Below are 25,742 nucleotides of genomic sequence, written 5' to 3' on the forward strand. Positions count from 1 at the left end.
GTGTATGTCTGAGCTGACCGCAACCTCCCTACCCCTAATATCGGGAACCAGGTGCTACCGCACATGCAGACGCGACCCCCAACCCACCGGTGCTGAGGGTCAGCCTGCTGGGGGGCCAGTGAAGGCACCACAGGAGCAGGGAGGCCCACGCTGCAGGGGAGAGGGGCTCCTGGGGAAGAGAGAGCTCCTTATACTGCAGGAGAGTGTCCAGGCTGGCCCCAGAGGGGGGTGCACCCCTCACCCTCAGCAGGGAGGGCCAGGCACCCACAATCCATACTGGGGGCTGCCACAGAAGCCTGGCTGGGCCTGTCCCCTCCCAGGACTTAGGGCCCCACCTGCAAAGACAGGCCTGGTGGGGAGGTCCCTTCCCAGGTGGGACCCGAGCCAGGCGGCTCTGCTCCCACGCCAGCAGCCCCCAGGAGGGCCGGCTCAAGGAGGATTAAGAAATCCAGCCACCTCTGGCCCGGCAACCGAAGAGTCACATTTAATGATGCTTTGCAGAGAAACCCGGACCAATTTAATTAAAATGTCGCTGACCCAGGCTCTGTGGAGCTAATGGAGCACCTTCATGTTCCGACTTCTCATTAATCTCTTACAAAGCGGCGAAGAGGGGAAGGGGGGTCATACACAAAGGAAAAGAAAGGGCCTTGCTTAGGGCTTGAATCTGCCTTCGAAGGCTCTCCCCTGCCCAAGAAGGCGGAAGGAGGCACAAGAGACCCAAACAGGGGAGGTTGATCCTTTAGTAAGTTGGTGATTGGGTACTCTGACTTCTCAATCAAGTGGGGCTCACAGCAGGGCCGGCTCTATTTACCTTACCCCTCCCCAGGCTGGGGCTCTACATTCCCAGCCTGCCTGGCAAATGTGAAGATGAAGGCAGGAGGGAGAAATGCCCCTCAGCTTCCAATAGAGGTGTCAACCCTGCCCATCCCTGTTCAGGAACTGCAGAGATGCTGGGGGCTCTGTGCAGAGTGGGGTTACAGGTCCAGCCCGGACTCCCCCAGACATGTGGACCTGGGCACTGACAGGCTGCAGGTAGCATGAAGGATGACCAGAGAGCCAGGGTCACCCCGGGTCAGCCACCCCAACAGCCAGTGGCCCCTGGAAGGGCTCAGGAGAGAGAGTCCTTTTATCTCGAAGTCTTTAGGTTGGGATTCTGTCTCTCAGAACAGACGCCTGGCCACGGAGAGGGCTGGTGGGGCAGAAAGAGACTCCCCTGACTTGGGTGAGTGGGTTCCGTACCCCTAACCCTTCCCTGGGATCCCCTGCCCACCATGCCTCCCACCTTGGTCTGTGGGGGGCACATCTTCCTCCCACCGGTCTTCGTGACAAGCCTGCCAGCTGGCTGACAGGTGGGGCCCACAGTGCCATGATACTGGTTAGACTGCCTAACCAAGGACACCCTCCTGGTGGCCCCACAGGGACCGTGGGGGCCCCTCTGCAGGCAGACATGGGGTACCCCTCTAGAGAGAACCTGAGATACCTCTCCATGGCTAGTGCCCCGTTTGGTGGGTAGGGAGCCTTATGGGCACGAGAGGCTCCAGGACCATGACTGGCGCTGCACGGCCTCCACCCTCCTACAGGAGGCCACTCCACTGTGTGCCTGCCTGCCCTGCTGCAGCCCCGCCCCCAGTCCCACGCCCCACCCCCAACCCCCTGACGCTCTTTCTGACCCTCCCTTCCCACCCCGCCAGCCCCACCCCACTTGCCTTCACACCCACGAGGTTGTTGTGGAAGTCCACACGGGCTCGCAGATCCTTGCTTGACCGTCTGCCCAGGAATTCCTTGACGAACTTGCTGCTGTACTTAAGGTTGTCTCCGCAGCCCCCCCACTGCCAGGCCTCACGGTTCTCCAGGTCGGGTGCCTCATCGCAGGTACAGCGCTCCATGCGGCCCGCGCTGCACGCCTTGGCCAGTGCGTGCGTCAGGCCAGCCGAGGAGATGGCATAGAGGAAGGCAGTCTCCTTGAAGCCTGGGGTTGGCAAGGGCCGATCAGTGAGCCCAGGCTGCCCAGAGTTCCCCCTTCACTGTCCTGCAGCCAAATCACCCCAAGAGTATGAATCCCATGTTGGGGCTCAGAGCATCTTTCCTGGTGCTGCACTCGGGACAGGGTGTGGGTGTGCCCTGGCCACCACAGGGTAGGAAACGCCTGGGTGTCCCAGGCGCAGGGCTGGCTGGGGGGAGAAACCAGAGCCCGCCATGGCCATGGCTCCGGCTCCGTGGTCACAGTCCCCATCAGGGTCTCGAACCTCCCAGCCTCACCATGGGGCCATTGGCAAGGCCTGCCTGGCCCTGGGCCTTGGGTCCCCAATTTTTAAACAAGCTCATGCAGTGCAGTGGCACACAGCTGCAGCCCCAGCTACTCCAGAAGCTGAAGTGAAAGGGTTGCTGAAATAGGCAGTGGAGAGCCCCTGGGAGGGGGCGGGAGGAGGCTGGGTGGGAGGGTGGCTGAAATAAGGCATCAGAGAGCCCTCATGAGGGTGGGAGGGGCAGGAAGAGAGTCTGCACAGGCATAGCCCACTGGGCACTGGGCCACCTGGCATGAGCCGAGGGCTGTCGGGGCAGCCCCGGGTAGCCTGGGGCCCCGTCAAAGGCCGAGTCAGCATGCCCTGGCCACCAGCAACGACTGTGCGTGTGCCTAAAGCAAGGCAGGGCAGGCAGCACTCAGGGAGGTCCCGGGGCTGCCCTTTCCAGGGCCTAGGCCCAGGAGCTCTGGGCAGGCTGGGCCCGGCGTCCCCAGGAGCGCAGCCTAAGAGGGGCCTCTTGGGATATGGACAAGGCCTGGGCTGCCACCTGTCTGGGGCCTTCCTGAGGGCCAGGCCGGCCACACTCACCTCGCTTGAGCAGGCTGGCCCGGTAGCGGCCCTCCAGCGTGCAGTTCCAGCGCTCAAAGCGGAACTGGAACTGGCACTCGAGCGCACTCATGCTCACGGCCTCCACCAGCGTCTCTGCCACGCCCGGGTCCCGGCGGCACATGCGCCGCTGCTTCCGCTCCAGCTTCAGCCGGTCGCAGGCCTTGTAGTGCGCCTGGGCAGCCGCCTCTGGCTCCAGGGTCAGCGGGAGGATGGTCAGGGGCTCGCTGCCCGTCAGCCTGGGCACAGAGAGGCCAGCATGAGCCCGGCCCCAGGAAGCCCTGCTGGAGCCTGGCCAGGTGTCTCGGTGGCCAGGGTACAGGGGACAGGCGTGTCCATCCGGGGGTGAGGGGGCAGAAAGAATCCAGGATGAGCCAGGCAGGGGAGAGGGAGGCGAGAAGGGCCTTGGCCCCCTGCACACCCATGGCCCCCACTCCAGCGAGCATGGTCTCAGTGACCACAGGGCTGTCTCTGCTGCCGACTCGACCCCCACAGTTTCAGGGAGTCTAGCTGACTCTGGCTGCACTGGACAGATAAGACCCCCACAACACACACAACATACGCAAGAGGACAGCCCCGCCTAGGGCTGTGGGCAGGGAGGAGGCTCCGGAGCCTGAATCCCAAACTATGCCTGATGGGCGTCTGCCACATCCTCCACCCTCTTTGGCCCCAGCTGACCCGCAGGATCCCGCCTGAGGTCCCCCTACCCTCTGCCATGACCTGCTGGGATGTCTACAGTCCTGTGGCCCCCTGCAGCTTCCCAGCACTCCTGCAGTCTACGCATATGTCCCCAGGTTCCAGCTGGGGTCTCCCCACCTCAGTGCCTGGGTGTGGCACTGGGAAGCAGCTCTTGGTTCTCTGACACTCTACCCCTCTCACCTCACCAAATCTGGACATCCTCCTTTGCAGGACAGACCCCAGCTAACCCATCCCCATAGGCCACCCCTGGGGGCCTCTGAGCTGATGAACACCACCCTCCATCTTTACACGAGGCCTTGCACCAGTACCCAGCACTGAGGACGCATCCCCAACCTCAACTGCTCCAGGAACCCGGCTCCACCCCACTGGGTGCCCCCTCCCCCCAGCTGGCTGCTGGCTCACCTGCTGCTGCTGCTGGGCTCACTTCACAAGGCTTCCCTCACACCCCGCCCTGGCCCAGCCCAGCCCATATCGAGTCAAGAGCCCTCAACCCCAAACCCTGACCCCGACCCCATGTCACCTGTCTATCCTGGGACTGACCGAGCATGCTCTGCAGCTCTGTGTCAGACCTGCCAGCCCAGTGTCCCCACATGGGTGGACTGAATGTCAGGGGCCCCAGGCACGGCCACCTCAAGCCAGACTCAGCCCTCCAGCCCTTAGGAGGGCACCCACCTGGACAGGGCCAGGGCTTGGAGGCCCCTCCTGAAAGCATCACTGGACACATGACGACCAACCCACCCCCAGCAGAGAACGGCAGACTCAGGATGTGCTGGGAGCCACCGGGGTGCCAGCTTGGGAAGGCTCCCCCCACACCCTCACATGGCCCTGCTAGACCCTGCCACCCACCCCGAGGGAGTAGCTCCTGCCCAACGGTATGGAGGGGAGGGGCCCAAGAGGCTCCCTAGCATACCCCATCAAAGGCAAGGCCACATAGGTAACCCCAAGGCTACTGAGGGGCACCTGCCTCCAGGGCCACAGGCGCAGGCCACAGAAGGAGCAGGTAGTGGCCCCAGGAAGGATCCCACAGCCCCTCCACAGGAGCCACCCACCTGGTGGTCATGCTGAGATACCCTGCCCGGCCAAGCTGACGTCCTGCCCCCTAAGCTGCGGTCTGCTTCTTCAGGATGCTCAGAGCCAGCCCGAGCACCCATGAGCCCTCGGAGTTGAGCCAGAGTTGCAGAAGGACCTGCAACGGCCCCCATCAGTCAGTGAACCACCAAGAGGTGCTGCAGAGGGGGTCTTCACTTAGGGAGGCCATGCCCAGGATTCAGGACACACACCCATGTGCCAGGCTGCCAGGGAGTGGGTAGAGGAGGAGCCCAAGGGCCCTTCTAGCAAATCCCCAAGGTCCCAGAGGCACGGGCCCCATGCAGCACAATGGGCCCCATGGGGAGGACAGGAGGGACCAGCCAGTCCTCTGAGCCTGGACACTGCCGTGGGCTGAGGTTGGAAGAGGCCGCCTGGGTGAGGGAAGGAAGGGCAGTGCAGGCAGGTCCCCTCAAATGCCCTGGGGGTCAGGACAGGAGCACAGGGCGGCACTGTGGGCATCCATGCACAGACACCTCCAAGCCCCAGGGCTAGGGATGGGATGTCCCAGGACATCTGGGCACACAGAGCACGGCTAGGGCGGGAGGCAGGCGGGGGAGTAAGGCCAGGAGAGCCGCACCTCACACACAAGGGCAGCTTGCAGGTGGAGACCTCCATCCCCAGACGGAACGCCACAGCTGTGACCAGAACAGCCCTCAGGAAGACGACAGCCTCCCACCTGTGCCTCCCCAGGCCTGGACCCGCCAGGACCCACGAGCCCCAAGCCACTGTCCCAGAAAACCCCTATGACCAGGCCAGCATGGGCCCTCCACAAGCTGCAAAACCCAACTGTGGGTGTGGACAGGGGACAGGGGGAGGGGAGAGGGAGGGCACTAAGAAGAAGATGGGGAGGGGAAAAGGGGAGAGGAGGAGGGTAGGGGATGAGGGGACAAGGGGAGGAGGGTGAAGGGAAGAGGGCAGGGGAGGAGGAGGAGGGGGAGAAGCCCCATCTACCAGAGCCACCCCTCCCTCCCTGTCAAGGATATCAGCCTGCCCTGCCCTCTCCCTGTGACCCACCGCCTTGCCCACACTGGTCAGTGTGAGGCCCGAGCACGCCGGGGCACTGAGAGCTGGTTTGACGGTGACTAGCTGAGTCCTCCAGCCTTCCCTAGGGCACCCCTGAAGCATGCAGACAGCAGGGCAGCAAGTGTGGCTACACCTGGAGACTTGCCGGGCAGCTGCCCTCCCCTCTGGCCCCAGGACACCCCTCTATCAGAGGCAACTCCCTAAACGCAGCTACGGGTGACTGACCCTGATCCAAGGCCAGGCAGGGTGGGCAGGGTGGGCCGTTGGCACTGTCAGAAGGGTGTGGAGGGAGGGTTGCCCCAGCCTAGCAGTGGCAAGGGATGGCCTGAGGCCCAAAGGCTACGCCCTTCCCTGGAGTATTCACTGAATTCTGTGCTGCTCTGGCCATGGCCTTCTTAAGCTCCTGCCCCCTCACCTCTCCCACCCTGGGTAACCCCTGCCCCATGCCTCCTTCATTGTCAGGGTGGGCTCCACATGCAGCCAACTGAAGGGACTCACAGCCTCAGGGGGTGCAGGTCTGAGGATAAACAGGCAGACCACAGGCACCACAGGGCATGCTGGGGAACAGGATGGGCGATCTCAGAGCCTGGGCCCAGCAGAGGGGGCCCAGACCCTCCTGACAGGCAGGGCTTCCAGGTGGGGCTCTCTTTCTGCCACACGACAGAGCCACAGAAGGGCTGAAGAAGGGAGGAGTGGTTCCCAACACAACCTCAGAACAGAGAAGCTTTCTTCCGTGAGACTCAGAACTCAGAAGTCACTGAAAAGTGAATATATTTGACTACTTAAAAGTATAAAAATCTCTGCACAGCAAAGAACAAAAAAGAGGCAGCGCAGAGTCCAGAGACCAACAGACAAATTACATCTGGGGCAAATGCCTACAACTCACACCCCAGACCAGGGGCCGGCGCTGTGCACGTGTGTGTGTGTGTCTGGATGCATATCTCTTCCTATAAACCAATAACAAAGGAACCGACTGAAGACAGACAAAGGGTATAAACCTACAGGCCAAGGGAAGGAAACCAACTGGCTCTTCAAACCTGTGAGCCGACACTCAGCCCCACTCTAAGACATTCTGTGCCTTCCTTCCCAGCTGCTCCAGAGACCGTGACGGGAGGGTTGTTTGAGCCCAAGAACTGGAGACCAGCCCAGGCAACATAGCAAGACCCCATCTCAAGAAAAAAAACTATATTGATACATTATGCTTTGTTAATTAATAAGCACAAATCAAATGTCTGATGGGAATATCGTCAAGGACACGGGGAGACACTCTTCCACGGCTGGAATTCCAGACTGACATATCTAGGAAACTTTAAAAATAATCCACTGTAGTGGTCTGAATGTTTGTGTCTTCCCCAAATTCATATGGTCAAACCTAACACCATCAAAGTGGTAGCATTAGGAGGTGGGGCCTCTGGAAAGTGATTAGGCGATGAACAGGATTAGTGTCCTTACGGACCCCAGGCTGGGTGCGATGGCTCACGCATGTAAACCCAGAACTTTGGGAGGCCAAGGCGGGAGGATCACTCGAGGTCAGGAGTTCAAGACCAGCCTGGGCAACATAGTGAGACCTGGTCTCTATAAAATATTTAAAAATTAGCCAGGCGCAGTGGTGCATGCCTGTGGTCCCAGCTACTCAGGAGGCTGAGGCGGGGGAAACACTTGAGCTTGGGAGGTCAAGGCTGCAGTGAGCTGTGGTTAAAATAATAATAAAATAAAATATAAATAAATAAAAGGGACCCTAGAGAGACCCTTGCCTCTTCTGCCATGTGAGGACATGGTGAGAAGGCAATGTCTATGAACAAGGAAGTGACCTCACCAGACACAGAATCTGCCACACCTTGACCTTGGCCTTCCAGCCTCCAGAGCTGTGAGCAGCATACTTCTGTGTTTTATAAGCTCCCAGGCTGTGGTGTTTTGCCATAGCAGCCTGCGTAAACTAAGATGCCTGACAATTACAGATATAATCACATCTTTCTGGAAGCATAGCCTGCACGTGCATTGTACCTTCCCAGTATGCCATTCAACACAGCCTTGTTATAGGAACGTGCTGGAGACAGCAGGAGAGCAGCTGGGAACGTCGGATCCACACGCTCTGTGGCGTGTCACGTGGTCCATGAGCAGCCAGCCACCCTATGTGAATCCATGCCGAGTCGCGCCCCAGGTGTGCTCAGTGGACAAGCAGAGCCCAGGAGTGGGTGGATAAGCTCAGCAGGGGCTGCATGTGCATGCGCGTTTGTGGCTGCACCGGACCAAGCAAAGACCCAAAGATGGAGGAAGCACGTTCTTCCCCATACAGCTGTGAGTTGTGCCGGGGCACAGATGGCCTATCCAGAATCCATGGAACTCGCTCCACACTCAGCAAATGGCACAGGCCTGGGAGGTGGGGGTTGCAGTGAGCCACGGACACACCACCACACATCAGCCTGGGTGACAGACTGAGACCATCTAAAAACAAACTAACAAAAAAACCAGCCTGCATCACCCCGGTTTGCATAAAGGTGGCAGCCGCCATCCTGGTCTTGCTCTTCATCTTCAGAGGAATGCTTTCAACATTTCAGCATGAAGCCTGACGCCCAAACACCGTTTCCGGCCACAGAGGCGCCCTTTGGTTCTTAGTTTGCTAAGAACCTTTAAAAATCATAAATGAGGCCAGGCGCAGTGGCTCACGCCTGTAATCCCAATGCTTTGGGAGGCCAAGGTGGAAGGATCACTTAAGGTCAGGAGTTCGAGACCAGCCTGGCCAACATGGTGAAACCCTGTCTCTACTAAAAATATAAAAATTAGCTGGGCATGGAGGCATACGCCTGTAATCCCAGCTACTCGCTTGAACCCGGGAGGCAGAGGTTGCGATGAGCCGAGATCACGCTACTGCACTCTAGCCTGGGTGACAAGGGTGAGACTCCGTCTCAAAAAAAAAAAAAATGAATATTGAATGTTATCAAATGTCATCCCTACATCTTTTGAGGTATGACTCTTCTCTCATCTTCCTTCCTTCCTTCCTTCCTTTTTCTTAGAGGAAGAGTCTAACACTGCCACCGAGGCTGGAGTGCAGTGGCACAATGACAGCTCACTGCAGCCTCACTGTTGCAGTGAGCTACAGAAACTGACCAATGTTCTGTGGAAGTTTGTCTTCCTGGACTCAACCTGGCCAGGACGGGCTCCATCCTCTTCTATGGGGCTAGATGTCTTCCGATAGTGTCTTCCTAGGATTTTCACGTCTGTGTTTGTGATTTTCTTCTCTCTAGCTCTTCCCACTGAGTTTCAGTGCCTGTGTGAAGGGTCTTGTTTCATTTTCCTAGGAGAGTTTGTATCAGATGAGAATTGTATCTTCTTAACTGTTTGTTCTGAAGAACTGGCCATGAAGCCATCTAAGGACTGAGCTATTCTTGGCAAAAAGATTTCCTTTCTGATCCAGTTTCTTTTTTCTTTTCTTTCTGAACAGCTTTACTGAGATACACAGGCACACCTTGAAGATGTTGTAGCTTTGGTTTCAGATCATCGCAATAAAGAAAAGGTCAGAAAAAAGCAAATCACATGAGTTTTTTTGTTTCCCAGTGCTTCTACAAGGTATGCTTACACTACAGTCTTTAAGTGAGCAATATAGCATTATGTCTTAAAAATAATACATATACTTTAGTTAAAAACACTGGACTGCTAAAAAGGCTAACAATCATCTCAGCTTCACTGAGTTGTCATCTTTTCGCTGGGGGAGGGTCTTGCCTCCATGCTGGTAGCTGCTGACTGGTCAGCGTGGTGGCTGCTGAAGTTTGGGGTGGCTGTGGAAATGTCTTTTTTTTTTTTTTGTATCTTTAGTAGAGACAGGGTTTCACCATGTTGGCCAGGCTGGTCTGGAACTCCTGACCTCTTGATCCGCCTGCCTTGGACTCCCAAAGTGCTGGGATTACAGGCGTGAGCCATCACGCCCAGCCGGAAATTTCTTAAAGCAAGACAACTATGAAGTTTGCCACATCAATGGACTCTCCCTTTCATGAAAGACTTCTCTATAGCAGGTGATGCTGCTTGCTAGCATTTTACCCACAGTGGAACTGCTTTCACAATTAGAGTCACTCTTCTCAAACCCTGCCACTGCTTTATCAACTAAATTGATATCAATTCTAAATCCTTTGTTGTCATTTCAACAATGTGCACAGCATCTTCACCAGAAGTAGATTCCATCTCAAGAAACCACTTTCTTTGTTTATCCATAAGAAGCAACTTGTCATCCATTCACATTTTATCATGAGACTGCAGCAATTCGGTCCCATTTCCAGGCTCTACTTCCAATTCTCATTCTCTTGCTGCTTCCACCACATCTGCAGTGACTTCCTCCCCTGAAGTCTGGGATCCCTCAGAGTCATCCCTGAGGGCTGGAATCAACATTTTCCAAACTCCTGTTCATGTTGCTGTTTTGACCTCCTCCCACGAATCATGAATGTTTTTAAGGCATCTAGAATGGTGAATCCTTTCCAGCAGGTTTTCAATAGACTTTTCCTAGATCCATCAGAGGAATCACTGTCTATGGCAGCTGTAGCCTTATGAAATGTCTTAAATAGTAAGACTTGAAAGTTGAAATGACTCCTTGATCTATGAGCTGGAGAATTAATGCACATTGTGTTAGCAGGCATGGAAACAACATACATCTCCTGGCACATCTCCACCAGAGCTCTTGGGTGAACGGGACACTGCCAATGAGCAATAATACTTTGCAGGAATCTTTTTTTCTGAGCAGTGGGTCTCCACAGTGGGCATAAAATATTTAGTAAACCAGGCTGGGAACAAATGTGCTGTCATCGAGGCTTTGTTATTCCATTTCTAGAGCACAGGCAGAGTAGACTTGGCGTAATTCTTAACAGTCATGGAATTGTTGCAATGGTGAATGGGCATTGGCTTTAACTTAAAAGTTACCAGCTGCATTAGCCCCTATCAAGAGAGTCACCCTGTCCTTTGAAGCTTTGAAGCTAGGCATTGACTTCTCCTCTCTAGCTATGGAAGTCCCAGATGACATCTTCTTTCAGTAGAAGGCTGTTTCATTTCCGCTGAAGATCTGTTGTTACTGTGGCCCCCTTCATCATTGATCTTAGCTGGATCTGCTGGAGAGCTTGCTGCAGTGTCTCCACCAGCTCTTGCACTTTTATGTTACAGAGACCGCTTCTTTCCTTAAACCTTGTGAACCAACCTCTGTTTGCTTCCACCTTTTTTTCTGCAGCTTCCTGGCCTGTCTCAGCCTTCATAAAACTGAAGAGGGTTAGGGCCTTACTCTGAATTAGGCTTTGGCTTAAGGGAATGCTGTGGCTGGTTTGATCTTCTATCCAGACCACTCACACTTTCCCCATGTCAGCAATAAGACTGTTTCACTTTATCATTTGTATGTTTACTGGAGTAGCACTTTCCATTTTCTTCAAGAACTTCTTTGCATTCACAGCTTGGCTAACTGAGGCCCAGCTTCCAGCCTGTCTTGGCTTTGGACATGCCTTCCTCACTAATCTTAATCATTCTTCACTTTAAAGTGAGGGACGTGCGACTCTCCCTTTCACTTGAACACTCAGAAGCCACTGTAGGGTTATTAATTGGTCTAATTTTAATATTGTCTCAGGACGTGCTTGTGACAGGGCTGCTACTAATCCTTGACATGCAATGGCACCACAGAGCCAAGCACAGTGGAGCAGGGTCAGGCTGCAGCTCACACACCACAAACTCACCCACTGCAAGATTCGCTGTGAATTCACCGATATGGGCAACAATCACCACAGTCAGACGCAGGGCCTGCCATCTCCTCAGAAACCCCCCAGCCCTGATCCGCTTTCTGTCTTGATGGATTTGCCTATCCTGGATATTTAAGTGGAATCACGCAGCATTGACCTTTTGTGGCTGTCTTATTTCACCGAACACAATGTCCTCGAGGTTCATCTGGGCTGCAGCCTGTGTCAGAACATCCCTCCTCTTAAGGGTGAATCCTATTCCATTGTGTGGATGGAACACGTTGTGCTCATCCATTCATGTGCTGAGAGGCACCTGGGTTGTTCCATTTTCCAGCTTTCATACCTGCTGCCATTATGAACATTCACACATGTGTTTGTGTGGACATATGTTTTCACTTCTCTTGGGTATACACCTGGGAGTGGAGCTGCTGGGTCACAGGGAAACTCTGTGCTTAATCCCTTGGGAAATCAGATGTTTTCCAATGTGGCTGCACTTTATATTCTCAATGCCCCACTTTCTTTAATTATTATAGGATTAATGAATATTTCTGTATCTTGACTTAGTTTCTATTACTTTTCTTTTCTGGTTTTGTCAGTTTCATCTAAATTTTCAGATTTATTGTCATGAATCTATTAATTGCTTTCTCCTGTTTTTGTCTGAAGAATCTGTAGGGATTCCCCTAGACAGGAAACTAATGCAATGAGCCTCATCTTTCTGGATTAGTCTCAGATATTTCCAAGAAGTGAGCTGTCATCTCTACGGCATGTCTACTCTTATGTAATTACTGTTGGCACTATTTCCAATGTCTTCCTTCTATTTCCTTTCACGTTGGCCTGTAGTTCTCTCTCTAGCTTCTCAACAGTACTGTGCGTTCTAGTTTCTCTCCTCTTCTAAAATGTGCACTTAAAGCTATCACTGTCATCATTTCAGTTGCTCCTAAACTGGAACCTCAGTCACAACTTCAGGTCACGACGCAGAGCCTGAGTCACAGCCTCAGGGACCTCTACAAAGCCTGAGTCATAGATTCAGTTCACCATACAGAGCCTGAGTCATAGCCTCAGGTAAGCTCAAGCTGATCATAGTGGGGGCTGTGACCCCAGTCACAACCTTAGGTCACCATAGACAGCCTGAGTCACAGACTCAGGTCACTATAGACAGCCTGAGTCACAGCCCCAGTTCACCACATAGAGCCTGAGTCACAGCCCCAGTTCACTATACAGAGCCTGAGTCACAGCCTCAGTTCACCACAGAGTCTGAGTCACAGCCCCAGTTCACCATACAGAGCCTGAGTCACAGCTCAGTTTGCCATACAGATCCTGAGTCACAGCCCCAGTTCACCATACAGAGCCTGAGTCACATCCCCTGTTCACCATAGCAGAAACTGTGACCCCAGCCACAGCCTCAGGTTGCCAAGCAGACCCCAGATCACACCCCCAGTTCACATACAGAGCCTGAGTCACAGCCTCAGTTCACCATACAGGGCCTGAGTCAGACACAGTTCACATACAGAGCTTGAGTCACAGCTCCAGTTCACTATAGTGGGGACTGTGACCCCAGTAACAGCCTAGGTTTCTGTTTGCCATAGAGAGCCTGAGTCACAATCTCAGGCTGCCAAACAGAGACCAAGTCACAGATTCAGGTCATGCTGCAGAGCCTGGTTCACCATCTGGCCCTCTCCTCCTTCTTCTCTCGAGATTCCCTCTGTGCCCTAAGCCCTCTGAGTTGGTGAGTTCTCTCCCCTCCTCTAACATTCTGTATCCTCCATCCTTGGAGTGTCTCTTACAGGGAAATTAGACTAAGCCCTTAACCACACTCCAATCAACCCAGGCTTTCGCCTGGAGCAGTTCATCCCCTAGGGTCTGGAGCCTCAGTTTACCCTCTTGTCTCATCCTTTCTGTTGACCATGCCTGTCCTGGGTTTTTTCATCCTCTTTTCCTCTTTTTGGGTTTTTGTTGTTGTTGTTGTTATTCCACATATTCCCTCTGCTCATCTGAAGTTGCACAATATTTTTTGTAATTTCCACAGTCACCTTCAATGCTATACCATGTGTCTGTGACCTACCTAAGCCTGATGCTGGTTAGTGCCTTCTCTACCTGGGCAGCACAGGGCCAGAGAACATATTCCCATCGACTCTCCCGCCCTGAGTTATGTGCTAATTGCATGTTTTACCTCCATTTGGGGGCCCAACAAGACACTGTTTTATCAGTCAGCACTACCTCCATGGCACCTTCAGAGCCCACGCTCTGCCCTCACTCCTTCCTGCATCTTGTTATGCAGCAGGGCCTCCACCTCCTGAGGTCGGCACCAGCTTGTTGGTGTCCTCACGCCTCATCTGTATTCTTCTTTCTCAGGATGGCTTTTATGATTCTGTCTTCAATCTTGTGCAGTTTTTCTTTTTCTTTTTCTTTTTTTTTTCAGACGGAGTCTCGCTCTGTTGCTCAGGCTGGAGTGCAGTGGTGCCATCTCAGATCACTGCAACTTCCACCTCCTGGGTTCAAGCGATTGTTCCTGCCTCAGCCTCCCAAGTAGCTGGGATTACAGGCAGCTGCCAACATGCCCAGCTAATTTTTTTGTATTTTTAGTAGAGACGGGGTTTTGCCATGTTGGCCAGGCTGGTCTCAAATTCCTAACCTCAGGTGATCCACCTACCTTGGCCTTTCAAAGTGCTGGGATTACAGGAGTGAGGAACTGCACCTGGCCACCCAGCTAATTTTTGTATTTTTAGTAGAGACGGGGTTTCACCATGTTGGTCAGGTTGGTCTCAAACTCCTGACCTCAGGTGATCCACCCACCGCAGCCTCACAAAGTGCTGGGATTACAGGCATGAGCCACTGCACCCAGTCTTTTTTTTTTTGAGACATGGTCTTTGCTCTGTTCAAGCTGGAGGGCAGTGGCGCTATCTTGGCTCACTGCAGCCTCCAGCTCCAGGACTCAAGTGATCCTCCTTCCTTAGCCTCCCAAAGTGCTGGGATCACAGGCACGAGGCACTGTGCCCAGCATGCTGTGTGCTTCTAATGTGTCATGTTCCAGGGTGAACTTATTTTTACTTTTGGCCTGGGAAGACACTGGGCTTCTGGAATCTTCTTTACAGCTTTATTCAATTTCGGAAAACTCTCATCCTCTCCCCTCATACATATCAGCCCTGTCCCACTCCCGCACCCTTCTCAGCTGCCTCTGGCATGGCCTCCCCGTGTCACCGAGGTGTCCTGCCCTCTGTCTGACATCTTGCCGCCTCTCTGGTATACTCTGGGTAATTTCTTCTGACCTATCTTCCGTTGTGCTAATTCCCTTCAGCTGTTTCTAATCTGCTTTTAAATCAGGCCTTACTTACTTTTCTCCCCCTCTAGCTCTATTTGGTTTTTCCAAACTTGCTGGGTCAGTCTTTGTGGTTTCCCGAGCCTTGCAGCCATCCCCAAGTGTCTTCCTTCCTAGAGGCAGAGTGAGGAGAGCCGCTGCACTCAGCACCGCTGCTCCGCTTCCTGGGCTGCGGCTGTCTTTTCGAGGCCCCTGTTGTGTTTCTGTGCAGGCCTGGTTAGCTCTGACCCCGGGCTGCTCACTGTACTGAGGAAACAGTTGGCAGAAACAAGTTGAAGGAGAGGATAAAGGTACTACAGTAGGTGGAATGGTGTCCCCCACCAAATGCGTCTAACGCAACCTCAGTCAGGGGCCTTATGTGGAATAAGAGGCATTGCAGAAGTAACTGAGATAAGGATCTCAAGGCAAGATCATCCCAGACATGGTGGGCTCTTTAGAGCCAGTGGAGGCTGTCCTTATAAGAAAAAGGAGAAGACACAGAGGCGGACGAGAGGGCCACGTGAAGATGGAAGCAGGGCGTAAAGTGGCCAGTCAACCAGCCAAGGAGCCCCACGGTTCGCAGCCATCGCTGGCAGCTGGCAGAGGCAGGAAGGACCCTCCCCTCAAGCCTCCAGAGGGGCATGGCCCTGCGGACGCCGTGATTTCAGACTTCTGGCCTTCAGACCTGAGACAGAAGTCCTGTTGTTTTAGGCCAGCCAGTCTGTGGTGCCTGACAGCAGCCCCAGGACAGCAGCACAGATTTTGGAAAGGATCTCGTTATGTGCACACCAGCCAGGCTTCTAGGGCCACCTGCGGTCCCAGAGCCAGGCCACCCAAAACCCAGCATGAGGCCAGGGCCCGGGACCACGCTGGTGACTCAGGCCTCAGCGCACACGTGGTGGCTGTGCCCTGCCCTGGGGGCCACCTGGGACTGTGGGAGGGCCTCCTCTGAGTATTCTCTCCTTAGCGGGTCCTGGCCTTTACTATGCACCCTCATCCCATGAGACCAAACCAACCTCACACTTTCTTGTTCAGCATCTGTTCTTGCTATTTCTAGGGATCCCCACCAACCATTTCATCAGCTCTTTGACACTTATAAAGTTAAATATACACACACACACAAACCCCCCCACACAGATACACCCATACACACGGACACACATGTGTACACACACACCCCCATACAAACCCATAAACCCATACACACACGCATACACACACACATATACCCATACATACACACCCATACAAACCTATACACACAGACACACGCATACACACGTACAGGAACAAACACACCCACACAAACCCCCTCACACACACACACACAAACACACCCATACGAACCCATAAACCCATACACACAGACACATGCATACACACATCCACAGGAACGAACACACCCACACACACAGATACACCCATACACTCATGTGTACACACAGACACACCCATATGAACCCGTAAACCGATAGAGATGCACGCATACGCACGTGCAGACACACAACCCCCCACATGCATACATGTATACACACATGCACATGTCCATCCAAACACAAACACACATACATGCACATACACATACATATACATGCATGTACACACATAAGATCCATGTAAAAATTCGCTTTAGTTGTTTCAAGCAGAAAAGCCTCTGAGTCTTGTGGGCCTGTTGCTGAAAACAGGCATCTATGCTCTCCAGTGTCTCATGTCTTCATGTCCTAAACTACCTGGTGAGTGTGTTTTTGACTCTGCTACACCGGCAAGAAACTGAGGTTCAGGGGATTAAACAGTGTAGCGGCATGTGCAGCCTGTGAGTGCAGAGGCAGGGCTGGGACCTGAAAGCGGCCTCTGACCTGGCTGCACCCCTGCCAGGCTCACGGCAGCACCAGTTCATGACTGCTCTCCCCGGTGAAGGGCCCGGATGACGACGGCTCCACGGGACACCCATACCTCTCAAGCCCCAGCCACTTCCCACCTCTGACTGTCATTCCAGGTGCAGCCATGCAGGAGGACACAGGCCAGCTGGAGAGAAGGAAGACGTCTCAACACCCATACGTGGCTGCGGCTGCCATGCCACAGGGCACACAGAACAGTTCCACGCTGCAGATGGGGCCGCAGACAGTGCTGGTCTCAGGAACCACGGGGGAGGTGGCTCCAGGGAGCGGTGACCCGGTCGCCTCCTTGAGCCCTGGAAGCTGGCCGCGGTGGTCAGCACTGACCCCTGCAGAAGCTCCGTGGAGACCATTCCCCAGCCCCACAGGAGTGGAGCTTAGCACACATGGTGCTGAGTCTGGGGACGGCCCCCCGCTCCTCTGGCTAGGCCTGATGCTGCCATGTCCTGGCTGCTTGGGGATTGGGCCACCCTGGGAGGACCCACTCAAGACACCTTGCCCTGAGCCTGAGGGCAGCTAAACGGGCCTTGTCCCCAGAGAGAACCTGAAACACACAGGGACAGCCACCCCACACTGCCAGGTCCCTAAAGCCACAGGCTCCTTCCAGCTCCCAGCACAATAGACAGGAAGTCCTACGGAGGGAGCACACATCACCAAGGCCGGACTCCGACCTTCCTGCCTCCTGCCAGCAGGTCTAGCCACCCTGACCGGGACCCAGCTTTCTCCCCCAGGCTGGGGCAGAGGGAGAAGAGACTGCAGTTCCAGAAGCCACAACACCCCGCCAGCAAAACCTCAGTCCTGCCAGACAGCGTTTAATTTCTGTGTGAAACAAAATCAAAACAAATTCTAGCACTGAGAAACCGGGGCTGAGATCAACTCTCCACCCTCCCCGTGGTCTGCAAATCAACCCAGCCCGAGCCCAGCTTCCAGCCCAAGCACGTCTGCTGTGTCCCTCAGGGCTGCAACGCCACCAGGGCCCAGCTGCACCCAGGAGGTGGGGCACATGCCGCAAGGATGGCACGGGTGGCCTGTGCAGATGCCCAGGTGCCTGCCAGGTGAAGCATCCTCGGGCCTGAGAGAAACACCCCCCTCCACCCTGCTGAAAGCACCGTGTCCCATGGCAGCCCCTGGAATAAGCCCTGCCCTGTCTGTGTCTGCAGCATCCATGGGGTCCCCCAAACCAGACCACAGAGGCCAGCCCAGCTCCCCCAGGCTACTTGGGCTGACTGCCCTTTTCTGGGGCAGGGTCCTGGACCCCAGAAGGGGCATGGCTGGTCTGTGGGCTGCAAGACAGGCAACCAAGGCTGCACGCAGGACCCCCCGGGGGAAAGGTGAAGAGCAGAAGCTTCCAGGAGGCCTCTGTGCTCAGTGACCACAGCCCCCCATGGCCTTCCCAGACAGCCGCAGACCCACACAACTGGTCAGCAGGACAGGGAGAGCCACGCAACCTTCCAGTGGCCACCAGTGTCACCTCCCACACTGTCATCCCTTCTGGAGCTCACTCTCCTGTAGGTGTCACAGAGGGAGCATCCCAAAGTCCACCTGGCTCCCCTCCCCACCCCACAGTGACTCCAGGTCTGCAGCCTCTGTCCCCATCTGGCCAGGAGGGACGCCGGCCCTGACGTTCTCCAGCTCTGGGAGGCTCTGGCAGCAGCTCCTCCTGGGCCAGACCTCCAGCCCACTTCCCCTGGCTGCACTGACCTCAGGTATCGCTAAAAAAAACAAATGCAGCCTGCGGCTTGCCTTTTTCCATCGTCCCATCCGGCCACTGGTCCTGAGGTGCTGCAACTGCCAGCTGGACAGCTGGGCTTCCTCTGGCGGGCAGCGGCGCCCAGCCAGCCAGGACCATGCCGGGAGGGCAACAGGCTCCTGGGAGGGCCCAGGCTGCAGGTCACGGGGCCGGGGCGGCCCAGTGCCACCCAGGTCAGCAGGCACAGCAAGACCATCCCCAGCCACCTGCCACCCTGCCCGGCCTGGACCACGGATGTGCTTGAATATGACCCCTGAAGGAAAACCAGGGTCACGTCCCCGCCGGGGCTGCACTCTGCATGGCTGCTCTGGTGGGGCCATCAACACCTGGCCTATCGTCCACACACGGGAAGGTGCGGCAGCCTGGCAGCCAGGTCTGCACTGCACTACGTCTGGCCACAAGTGTAGACACAGCCCTGCCAGAGTCAGAGTCCTGTAGGACCCGGGGCTGGGCTGCCAGGTGAATGAGTGACACAGATCCACCTGGCAGGGAGAGCCTCAGGCTTGAGGGAGTCTTGGGATAGGAGGGCACACAGAATGCAGCTTGGAGAAGACCCCACAGGGACCCTTCTGGCCAATCCCAGAATTGAGCGACCAGGGAGAGAAGGATGCATCTGAGGAGAACACAAGGGGACCCTCCTGGCTGATCCCAGAGTTGAGCGACCAGGGAGAATAGAATGCATCTGAAGAGACCCCACGGGAACCCTCCTGGCTGACCCCAGAGTTGAGCAACCAGGGAGAGAAGGATGCATCTGAGGAGACTCCATGGGGACCCTCCTGGCAAACCCCAGAGTTGAGCATGCAGGGAGAGAAGGAGGCATCTGGGCAGTCACTGGGCTTCCTGCAAGAAGCAGCAGCTGGGGCCGACCTCAAGGGACAGGCGAGGCCCTGGGAGCACAGGGGAGATGGCACCACTGTGCCCCAAGGGCCTCACCTGACCCTAGGGGTCAGCCCCATCAGAGGTCAACTTCCAGCCAGAAGGCATGGGGTCTGGGGAACCCCCACTCGTGGCTGGCCTTCTGGGTTCTGGGGGCCTGGCTCAGTCCCCAGTCCCACAGACACTGCTGCGGGAGCCACCCTGGTCCCAGACAACTGCACCGGTCCTGACCCCGCCGCCCAGCACAATGCACAAAGGGAGCCCGTGCCGCAGCTGGGATCAGGTGGCGCGACCGAGGCCTGTCAACAGGTGTCGCTTTCCCGCAGCCCCCACCCTCCCACAGGCATCACCTCCTCCCTGCCCCAGGGTCCAGAGCCTCCAGGAGGTATCCGTGCCTGTGTGCTCTTTCCTAGGGGAAGAGTCACCCACACGCTTCTTTGATGGCCAAACCCCAGAGCAGGGCACCCCCAGCCCGGGCCACCCCAGCAGCCGGCGGAAGGTCCCAGGCCAGGGCAGGCACTGGGGCCCTCTGCAGCCTGCAGCAGGGCGGGAGCAAGATGAGGCCAGCTGTCTCCCCAACCAGACGTCCGCCGGCTGTGGACAGGACATCTGCTCCCTCAGCTGTGGCAGGCCAGGCACTGCTGCTCCGTCCTTACCACACACCCTCCACACCCTCCAGGGAGCCAGGACCCCCAAGCAGGTGGGGCAGGGAGAGGCTGGGGGTTCCAAGGCCCCTGGGTGCAGAGCAGGAAGGAGGAAGGCCACCAGCGCCTGCAGGGGCCATCAGGCTGACACTCCAGACCCTCCCACTTACGGCCCCACTGTCAGGGAAGCCAAGCACCTGGGTCCCTCTACTGGCCACGGGGTCCCAGTCCAGGAGTCCTGGAGAAATGCCCCGACTTTCCACTGGCCCTGTCCTCTCCTCTCCATGCTAAGAAGTCCCCAGGGAGTCCCCTGGCCCCCAGGGCCCCTCCTCTCAGCCCTCTGCTGAGGTCTGCCCCACTGAGCCACTTCCACGATCTCTCGAAACAAGGCAGCTCCCTGGCCCCTTTCCTCCCTGCCCTTCTGGCCCTCCAGAGCACTCTGTGTGGCCTTTCTTCCTGATGCCAGGCCCCACATGCTTCCTGGGGTGTCCTAAGTTGTTGGAGGGGGTGGGTCTCCAGGACAGTGCCTGCCCAAACCTAAGCCTGAGCTCTCAGCTGCTCCCAAACCCCCCGGCCCACAGTGCTCAGAGCACCCGACCCAGGCCCCAGCCATGGGGTCACCCCAGATGCCGCCTTCTTGCCAGCTCCTTCCCAGGCTTCTCTTGCCCAGCACACAGCCCCATGATTCCACACCTCAGGCCCACCCCTCCTTCTCCGGCCCTGCCAGGGACCCACAGGTGCCCCTCATCCAGGCAGCCAGCTGTGCCCCAGGCCTGATGCACAGAGAGGCAGAGCCATGGGACCAGGCAGGGTATGTCCTGCCCACAGCCAGCAGCCTCCCTCTTGGACCCTGCGGGGTCTGATGTTGGCACTAATGTGAGAAACACATCCCCTCCCCACGCCCATGACAGCAGCCTCTCCGCAGCCTCCTCTTGAGAGTCCCCTGAGCACCCAGAACTGCCCCACACCAGGCTCTAGGCAACGGGGGATGTCCTGGCTGCCCCCACCCACCCAGTGGGGCTGCCAGGGTGTCGCTGGCTCCTTGTGCAGGGGTAAGAGCGCCCACAGGCTCACAGGTCTAGAGACAAGGTTCTTCTCAGTCCAAGGAGAAATCCAAATATATAAAGAGCTCTCATAAACTCAACAGGAGAAAGACAAGCAGCCCCACTAAAAACAGGCAAAGGAGCTGCATGGACATTCTCCAAAGAAGACCCATGGCCCATGAGGCCACGAAAAGATGCTCAGCGCCACTGGCCACCTGACAAATGCAGTCAGAGCCCCACAAGGTGCCATTCCACACCCACTAGGATGGCTGCGGTAGAAAATAAAACAGAAAACCAGTGTCAGCGAGGAAGTGGAGAAAGGAGCCTTTCTGCACTGCCGGCAGAAATGTAAGATGCTGCATCCAGAAGGGTTTGGCAGGGCCTCAAAAACCTAAATGCAGGCGGGGAGCAAGGGCTCACGCCTGTAACCCCAGCACTTTGCGAGGCTGACGTGGGAGATCCCTTGAGCCCAGGAGTTCAAAATCAGCCTGGACAGCATGGTAAAACCCCATCTCTACAAAAAATAAAATTTAAAAAAATTAGCCAGGATTAGTGGCTTGTGCCTGTGGTCCCAGCTACTTGGGATGCTGAGGTGGGAGGACGGTTGAGCCTCTGAGGTGGAGGCAGCAATGAGCCTTCATCACATCGCTGCACTCTAGCCCGGGTGACAGAGCAAGACTCTGTCTCAATAAAACAAAACAAAAACATCACATGCATGTGACCCAGTACCTCCACTTCTATGTACCCCAAGAACTGAAAACACACACACACACACAAAACCTCACATACCAATGCTCACAGCAACATTATCCATCATAGCCAAACAGTGGAAGTGATCCAGATGTCCGTCAACTGATGAACGGTCAAAAAATCTCTCGGAGAGTCTTCCAGTCGAGTCTAACTCAGTCATAAGAAAGAAGGCAATACTAACGCGTGCTACAACGGTGATGCTGAGTGAGAGAAGCCAGGCGCGGAGGCCACACGGCATAGGATTCCATTTCTAGGAAACGTCCAGGACAGGCAGACCCGTGGAGAAAGAACGCAGACAAGTGGTTGCCAGGGACTGGGGGAGGGGAACGGGCAGCGACTGCCTAATGCGTATGAGGTTTCTGGGGTGAGGAAAATGTTCTGGAATTAAACAGTGGTGAGAGCTGCATGGCCTGGCAAATGAGGTACTCAAAATCACGGGGCTGTATACATTAAAAGAGTGGATTTTACAGGACGTGAGTTACGGCCAATAACAAAAAGCCTCAGCCAGCCCTGAGGCCCACCAGGCCCCCAATTCACAGTGGTCACTCCCTCCAGCCTGGCTTCTGGACCAGTTCCAAGCACCTTTCCAGCCCCGATGGCTGGCTCTGGGGCCACAGCCGGGGGCACCTCAACAATCCCTCAGTGCCAGCCTTGGTTATGCCTCTTCCAGGCAGGCCTCCAGGCTACTGAGGCCCAGAGAAGGGGGCAAATTGGCAGGGCCTGGCCTCCCACCATCGTGCCCCCGCAAAGTAACCTGCAAATGTTTCCTGAGTGATGTAAACTGCAAGGGCCACCACCACAAAACAGCCTCAGGGTCTTTAAAAAAGAACTCCAGTGGGAAGCCTCAGACCTCATCCCGAGCCAGCCCAGGACCCCTAAGGAAAGGGCTGCAAGGTGCCAGGGAGCCAGGCAGCCTAGCAGCCAGGGGTGGGGGTCCAAGCCCCGCTGGGCAGGAACAGCCCCCAGACCCAGGCCCAGCCCTGACTCCACATCCAGAGGGTCTGGGCCCAGGAGAGAAGCAGCCCCGGCGTCTAATCCGGATCTACCATCTCAGCTGAAACCACAACCCAGCAAGGGCGAAGCGAGAGGGGCCTCCCAATGGAGGACAAACCATGTCCTCAGACCACCACCAGGCCCACCCTCTTGCTATAACCTTGGGGAGAGGGTCTGAGTCTGTACCCCAAGCCCTCCCTATGACCTCGGGCTGGCCTCCCTGCTTACCCCTCTGTCTAGAAGGGCTTGGGGCCAGGCCAGCGAGGAGGCACATGGACATAGCCATGGGAGAACCAGATGGAGATGCCACCTGCTAGCCAGGCCAAGGTGCAGGGCCAGGCCAAGGGGAGCCTCTTCCCCACAGGGGGTCCAGCCTGGTGGCCAGAGGCCTCTAGGAGGGCAGCGGGCGCCAGCCAGGGTTGGGTTGCAGCTCAGGGAGCAGGCAGGGAGGGCTCCCGTGGGTCCACGTGACCCTCCCCCAGGCCAGCCTCTCCTCTCCGGGTTCCTGGGCTGTAACTGGAGCCGTGTTCCTGCCTGGGAGACTCCGTGCCAGGCAGAGCTTTTGAGAGGGGGAAGGGAGAAAACGGCCCTAGATCCCAGCCCCTTCTCCCTGCTTCCTGGACTGGAGCTGGGAAGGGCCACCCCAGCCCCCCTCCAGCTCCAGCCCCGCCTGGCCTTTAATGCCCTGGGCCACCCCCTGCCTTTGCTGGGCCAGGAGCCACAGCAGGAGAGGCCTCCGCACAACCCAGCCTGGAGCCCTTTGTGCCCTGCTTCCCCTCCCCAGCCCAACCTTGGGAACTGACTTACAGGGGGCCCAAGGCCTCCAGCAGCCCAGATGGAACCTGGCCTGCCCTGACCCAGGATGCCCCCCCAGCCCCTGGTTCAGGAAGGTGCTCATTCTCCATCAGTCAAACAGAGTCCTAGCTGCCCTCTGCAATGCCAGCTGTCCCCAAAGGCAGCACACTTGCCCTCTGGACTTCCCACAGGGCAGCTACATGGAGAGCTGCCCTCAGACAGGACTCAGGAATTCTCCCTTGATGGGTCCTTTGGAGCCAAGAAGCAGGGCCAAGGGGGCCTGGCCAGAGAAGCCACAACAGCACTTAAGTCCTTGCTATGCGCCTGGCACCAGCCTGGACTTACTGTCTGCAAGAGAGCTGAAACACACGCACACAAAGCAGCAGAGCCCCTTGACCTTCTCTAGGGCACAAAGCCCAGAGATAGGTCAGAGAAGGAGAGGCCAAGACCCAGCGCCACCCCGTCTCCAGGAATCGGATCACAGCAGGGACAAAGCCGCTGCAGCCTGGACAAGCCCAGGGTGTGTCCCCAGCCCAAGAAGCAGAGCCTCCGCTGGGCCGGAGAGCAGGGAAGCACAGCTGGCTGACAAGGCCACGGTGAGTCACCGCGGACCTGTGGCCCTCCCTCCTGCCCTCCCGGGTGAGGCTACGGGTTGCACAGATGGCGTGCAGTGGCGTGCCAGCCCAGGCCCAGGGCCGTACCCACAGTTGGAGCCAGGAGAGGGCTGCGGGTGGGGGCCCCAGGGAACTGAGACACCGGGCTGACCCTGGAAGACGACCCAGAAGAAAGGAACAGAGAGAAGAAAGGGAGAGAAAGAAAAACACAAAGGGAAAGTTTCCCATGAAAATATTTTATTTTCTTTGAGAACAGGATACACCTGCAGGGCTCCTCGGCCCAGGCGGCCTCTCCCTGCCCGGGCGGGTGCCAGATTCCTGGACCAACGGGGCCCTCTGCCGGCCAGCCCGCCGCGCGCTGGCGCTCAGGCCAGAGGGCCGGGAACAGGTGACCGGCGGAGGGCGGCGGCCCGGCTGAGGGAGCGGCCCAGGGCGTCCAGGTCGGGGGCTGGGATCCGAAGGCCAGCCAGGGCTCCCAGCGGCGGCGCTCGGGGTAGGAGGCTGGAGGGTGGCGGGGAGGCCCGGGGCGCTGCCTCGCACGGCGCCACCCTGCACCTCAGCGCGCCCAAAGCGCAGCGAGGGTCCCTGTAAAGGTCGCAGGACTGGGCATCCCAGACCTCAGAGAGGGGGAGGGAAGAAGGAAGGGAAAGAAAGGAAGAGAGAGACGCGCCGACAGCCCGGCAAAGCGCTGCTGCAGAGACACGTGAGCACGGGCAATGACACCGCGGGACGCCCCGGCCGGGCCCTGCGCTCCCGGCCAGGTTCCATGGACGCGCTCCCGCGGGCCGGGGCCCGGGCCACAGAGTCAGAAGCAAAGCGCAAGAAAAATAAATTCCTCCAGCTTGGAGGATTTCTCTCTTTCTCTCTCTCTCTCCGTTTGGGGCTCAGCGCGAGGAACATCTGGATTTTGTACGTATTTTTGTTATTGTTAAATTAACTTCTCGAGAAGAGAAAGGGGGGGAAGCTGCTAGGTGGGCGATGGCCAGGGGCTGAGGACTCAGGCTCCAGCCTTTTGGCAAGGACACGGCGGCCCAAGGAAGTCGGGACCTGATCCCAGTCCCTAAGCGCGAGGCAGTCCTGCTCACGGCGGCGACTACGACGACGACGACTCTGCGGTCACGGAGGACCGCGGCCCGGCGCAAGCCGGACGGGTCCACCCGCCTCTCTAGCCGTGCCGCGCAGCGGACGGAGCGACGCGCGCGCCGCAAACAAACAGCGCCAGGCAACCCGGCGGCCCCGCCGCGCCCCGGCCCCAGCCACCCCGGGTGCCTCGGGGACTCCGGACGACCCCGCCCCGGCCCCGCCGCCCCCGCCCACCAGTGCGCGCCGGCCGCCGAAGGCACCTACCCGAAGTAGGCGGCCGAAGGGCGCAGCGCGGCGAGCAGCAGCGTCAGCCCGAAGGCCGCGGCCAGCCAGCGCGCCAGCGGGGACCCATCCAGCATCTTGCCGCGCCTCGGCGGCCGACCATCGCGCTCCCAGCTCCGCGCAGGGCGCGCCGCGGCCGCCGCCCTCTTATAGCGCCCGGAGCGCGGCCAGCTGGGCCCGGCCCCGCCCCGCGCCCGGGAGGGGATCACGCCGGCGCCGGGGGCGGGCCGAAACCCGAGCCGCGCGCGCCAGCCCGCCAGCCCCTCCCGGCCACTCGGGGCCCCGGCCGCCGCTCCCGGCGCGGGTCTCGGGCGCGCCCTGCCCGGCGGGGATGGAGGAAGGGGAGGCGGAGAGCGGTGGGAA

General features: G+C 57.3%; 1 protein-coding gene, 1 long non-coding RNA gene and 1 other non-coding gene across 4 annotated transcripts in view, besides 9 other annotated features; 1 reads left to right on the forward strand and 2 right to left on the reverse strand.

The window, feature by feature from the left end:
* WNT9A (Wnt family member 9A) overlaps positions 1 to 25,501 on the reverse strand; it is a 29,277-nt gene extending 3,776 nt beyond the window's left edge. The window contains exons 1-3 of one of the 2 annotated variants that reach the window (NM_003395.4): positions 25,362 to 25,501; positions 2,832 to 3,088; positions 1,707 to 1,969 (exon numbers count right to left, since the gene is read on the reverse strand). In NM_003395.4, the coding sequence (NP_003386.1) occupies positions 1,707 to 1,969; positions 2,832 to 3,088; positions 25,362 to 25,456 (615 nt within the window). In that variant the 5' untranslated portion in view covers positions 25,457 to 25,501. Of the gene's footprint in view, positions 1 to 1,706; positions 1,970 to 2,831; positions 3,089 to 21,651; positions 21,791 to 25,361 lie in introns of those variants that run through there. The other variant, XM_011544271.3, reaches the window with a different exon arrangement.
* Positions 3,885 to 4,637: an enhancer, noted in NCBI's record as "H3K4me1 hESC enhancer chr1:228114017-228114769 (GRCh37/hg19 assembly coordinates)". NCBI's record gives its function as "activates a minimal SCP1, AML or CMV promoter by ChIP-STARR-seq in primed H9 embryonic stem cells {active_cell/tissue: H9 hESC(primed)}" and the evidence as "EXISTENCE:reporter gene assay evidence [ECO:0000049][PMID:30033119]".
* Positions 7,402 to 7,962: an enhancer, noted in NCBI's record as "H3K4me1 hESC enhancer chr1:228117534-228118094 (GRCh37/hg19 assembly coordinates)". NCBI's record gives its function as "activates a minimal SCP1, AML or CMV promoter by ChIP-STARR-seq in naive H9 embryonic stem cells {active_cell/tissue: H9 hESC(naive)}" and the evidence as "EXISTENCE:reporter gene assay evidence [ECO:0000049][PMID:30033119]".
* Positions 11,946 to 13,131: a silencer, noted in NCBI's record as "S7 fragment used in the reporter construct". NCBI's record gives its function as "represses activity of a beta-globin enhancer-driven SV40 promoter in transfected K562 erythroleukemia cells {active_cell/tissue: K562}" and the evidence as "EXISTENCE:reporter gene assay evidence [ECO:0000049][PMID:30886051]".
* Positions 11,946 to 13,180: a biological region, named in NCBI's record as "negCOR silencer S7".
* Positions 11,981 to 13,180: an enhancer, noted in NCBI's record as "P300/CBP strongly-dependent group 1 enhancer chr1:228122113-228123312 (GRCh37/hg19 assembly coordinates)". NCBI's record gives its function as "activates an origin of replication core promoter dependent on BRD2, BRD4, P300/CBP, MED14 and CDK7 cofactors, with strong dependence on P300/CBP, by STARR-seq in HCT116 cells {active_cell/tissue: HCT116}" and the evidence as "EXISTENCE:reporter gene assay evidence [ECO:0000049][PMID:35650434]".
* Positions 19,159 to 19,252, reverse strand: MIR5008 (microRNA 5008). Its single transcript, NR_049806.1, has one exon. It is a non-coding gene; the product is annotated as a microRNA 5008 (primary transcript).
* Positions 19,699 to 20,601: an enhancer, noted in NCBI's record as "H3K4me1 hESC enhancer chr1:228129831-228130733 (GRCh37/hg19 assembly coordinates)". NCBI's record gives its function as "activates a minimal SCP1, AML or CMV promoter by ChIP-STARR-seq in naive H9 embryonic stem cells {active_cell/tissue: H9 hESC(naive)}" and the evidence as "EXISTENCE:reporter gene assay evidence [ECO:0000049][PMID:30033119]".
* Positions 23,427 to 24,872, forward strand: LOC124904533 (uncharacterized). The gene is made up of 2 exons (XR_007066912.1): positions 23,427 to 23,996; positions 24,271 to 24,872. It is a non-coding gene; the product is annotated as an uncharacterized LOC124904533 (long non-coding RNA).
* Positions 24,323 to 24,432: a silencer, noted in NCBI's record as "silent region_1903". NCBI's record gives its function as "represses an Ori minimal core promoter by ATAC-STARR-seq in GM12878 lymphoblastoid cells {active_cell/tissue: GM12878}" and the evidence as "EXISTENCE:reporter gene assay evidence [ECO:0000049][PMID:35858748]".
* Positions 25,406 to 25,455: an enhancer, noted in NCBI's record as "active region_2686". NCBI's record gives its function as "activates an Ori minimal core promoter by ATAC-STARR-seq in GM12878 lymphoblastoid cells {active_cell/tissue: GM12878}" and the evidence as "EXISTENCE:reporter gene assay evidence [ECO:0000049][PMID:35858748]".
* Positions 25,536 to 25,615: a silencer, noted in NCBI's record as "silent region_1904". NCBI's record gives its function as "represses an Ori minimal core promoter by ATAC-STARR-seq in GM12878 lymphoblastoid cells {active_cell/tissue: GM12878}" and the evidence as "EXISTENCE:reporter gene assay evidence [ECO:0000049][PMID:35858748]".

Source organism: Homo sapiens, chromosome 1 (assembly GCF_000001405.40).
Source record: "Homo sapiens chromosome 1, GRCh38.p14 Primary Assembly".
Classification (NCBI taxonomy): domain Eukaryota; kingdom Metazoa; phylum Chordata; class Mammalia; order Primates; family Hominidae; genus Homo; species Homo sapiens.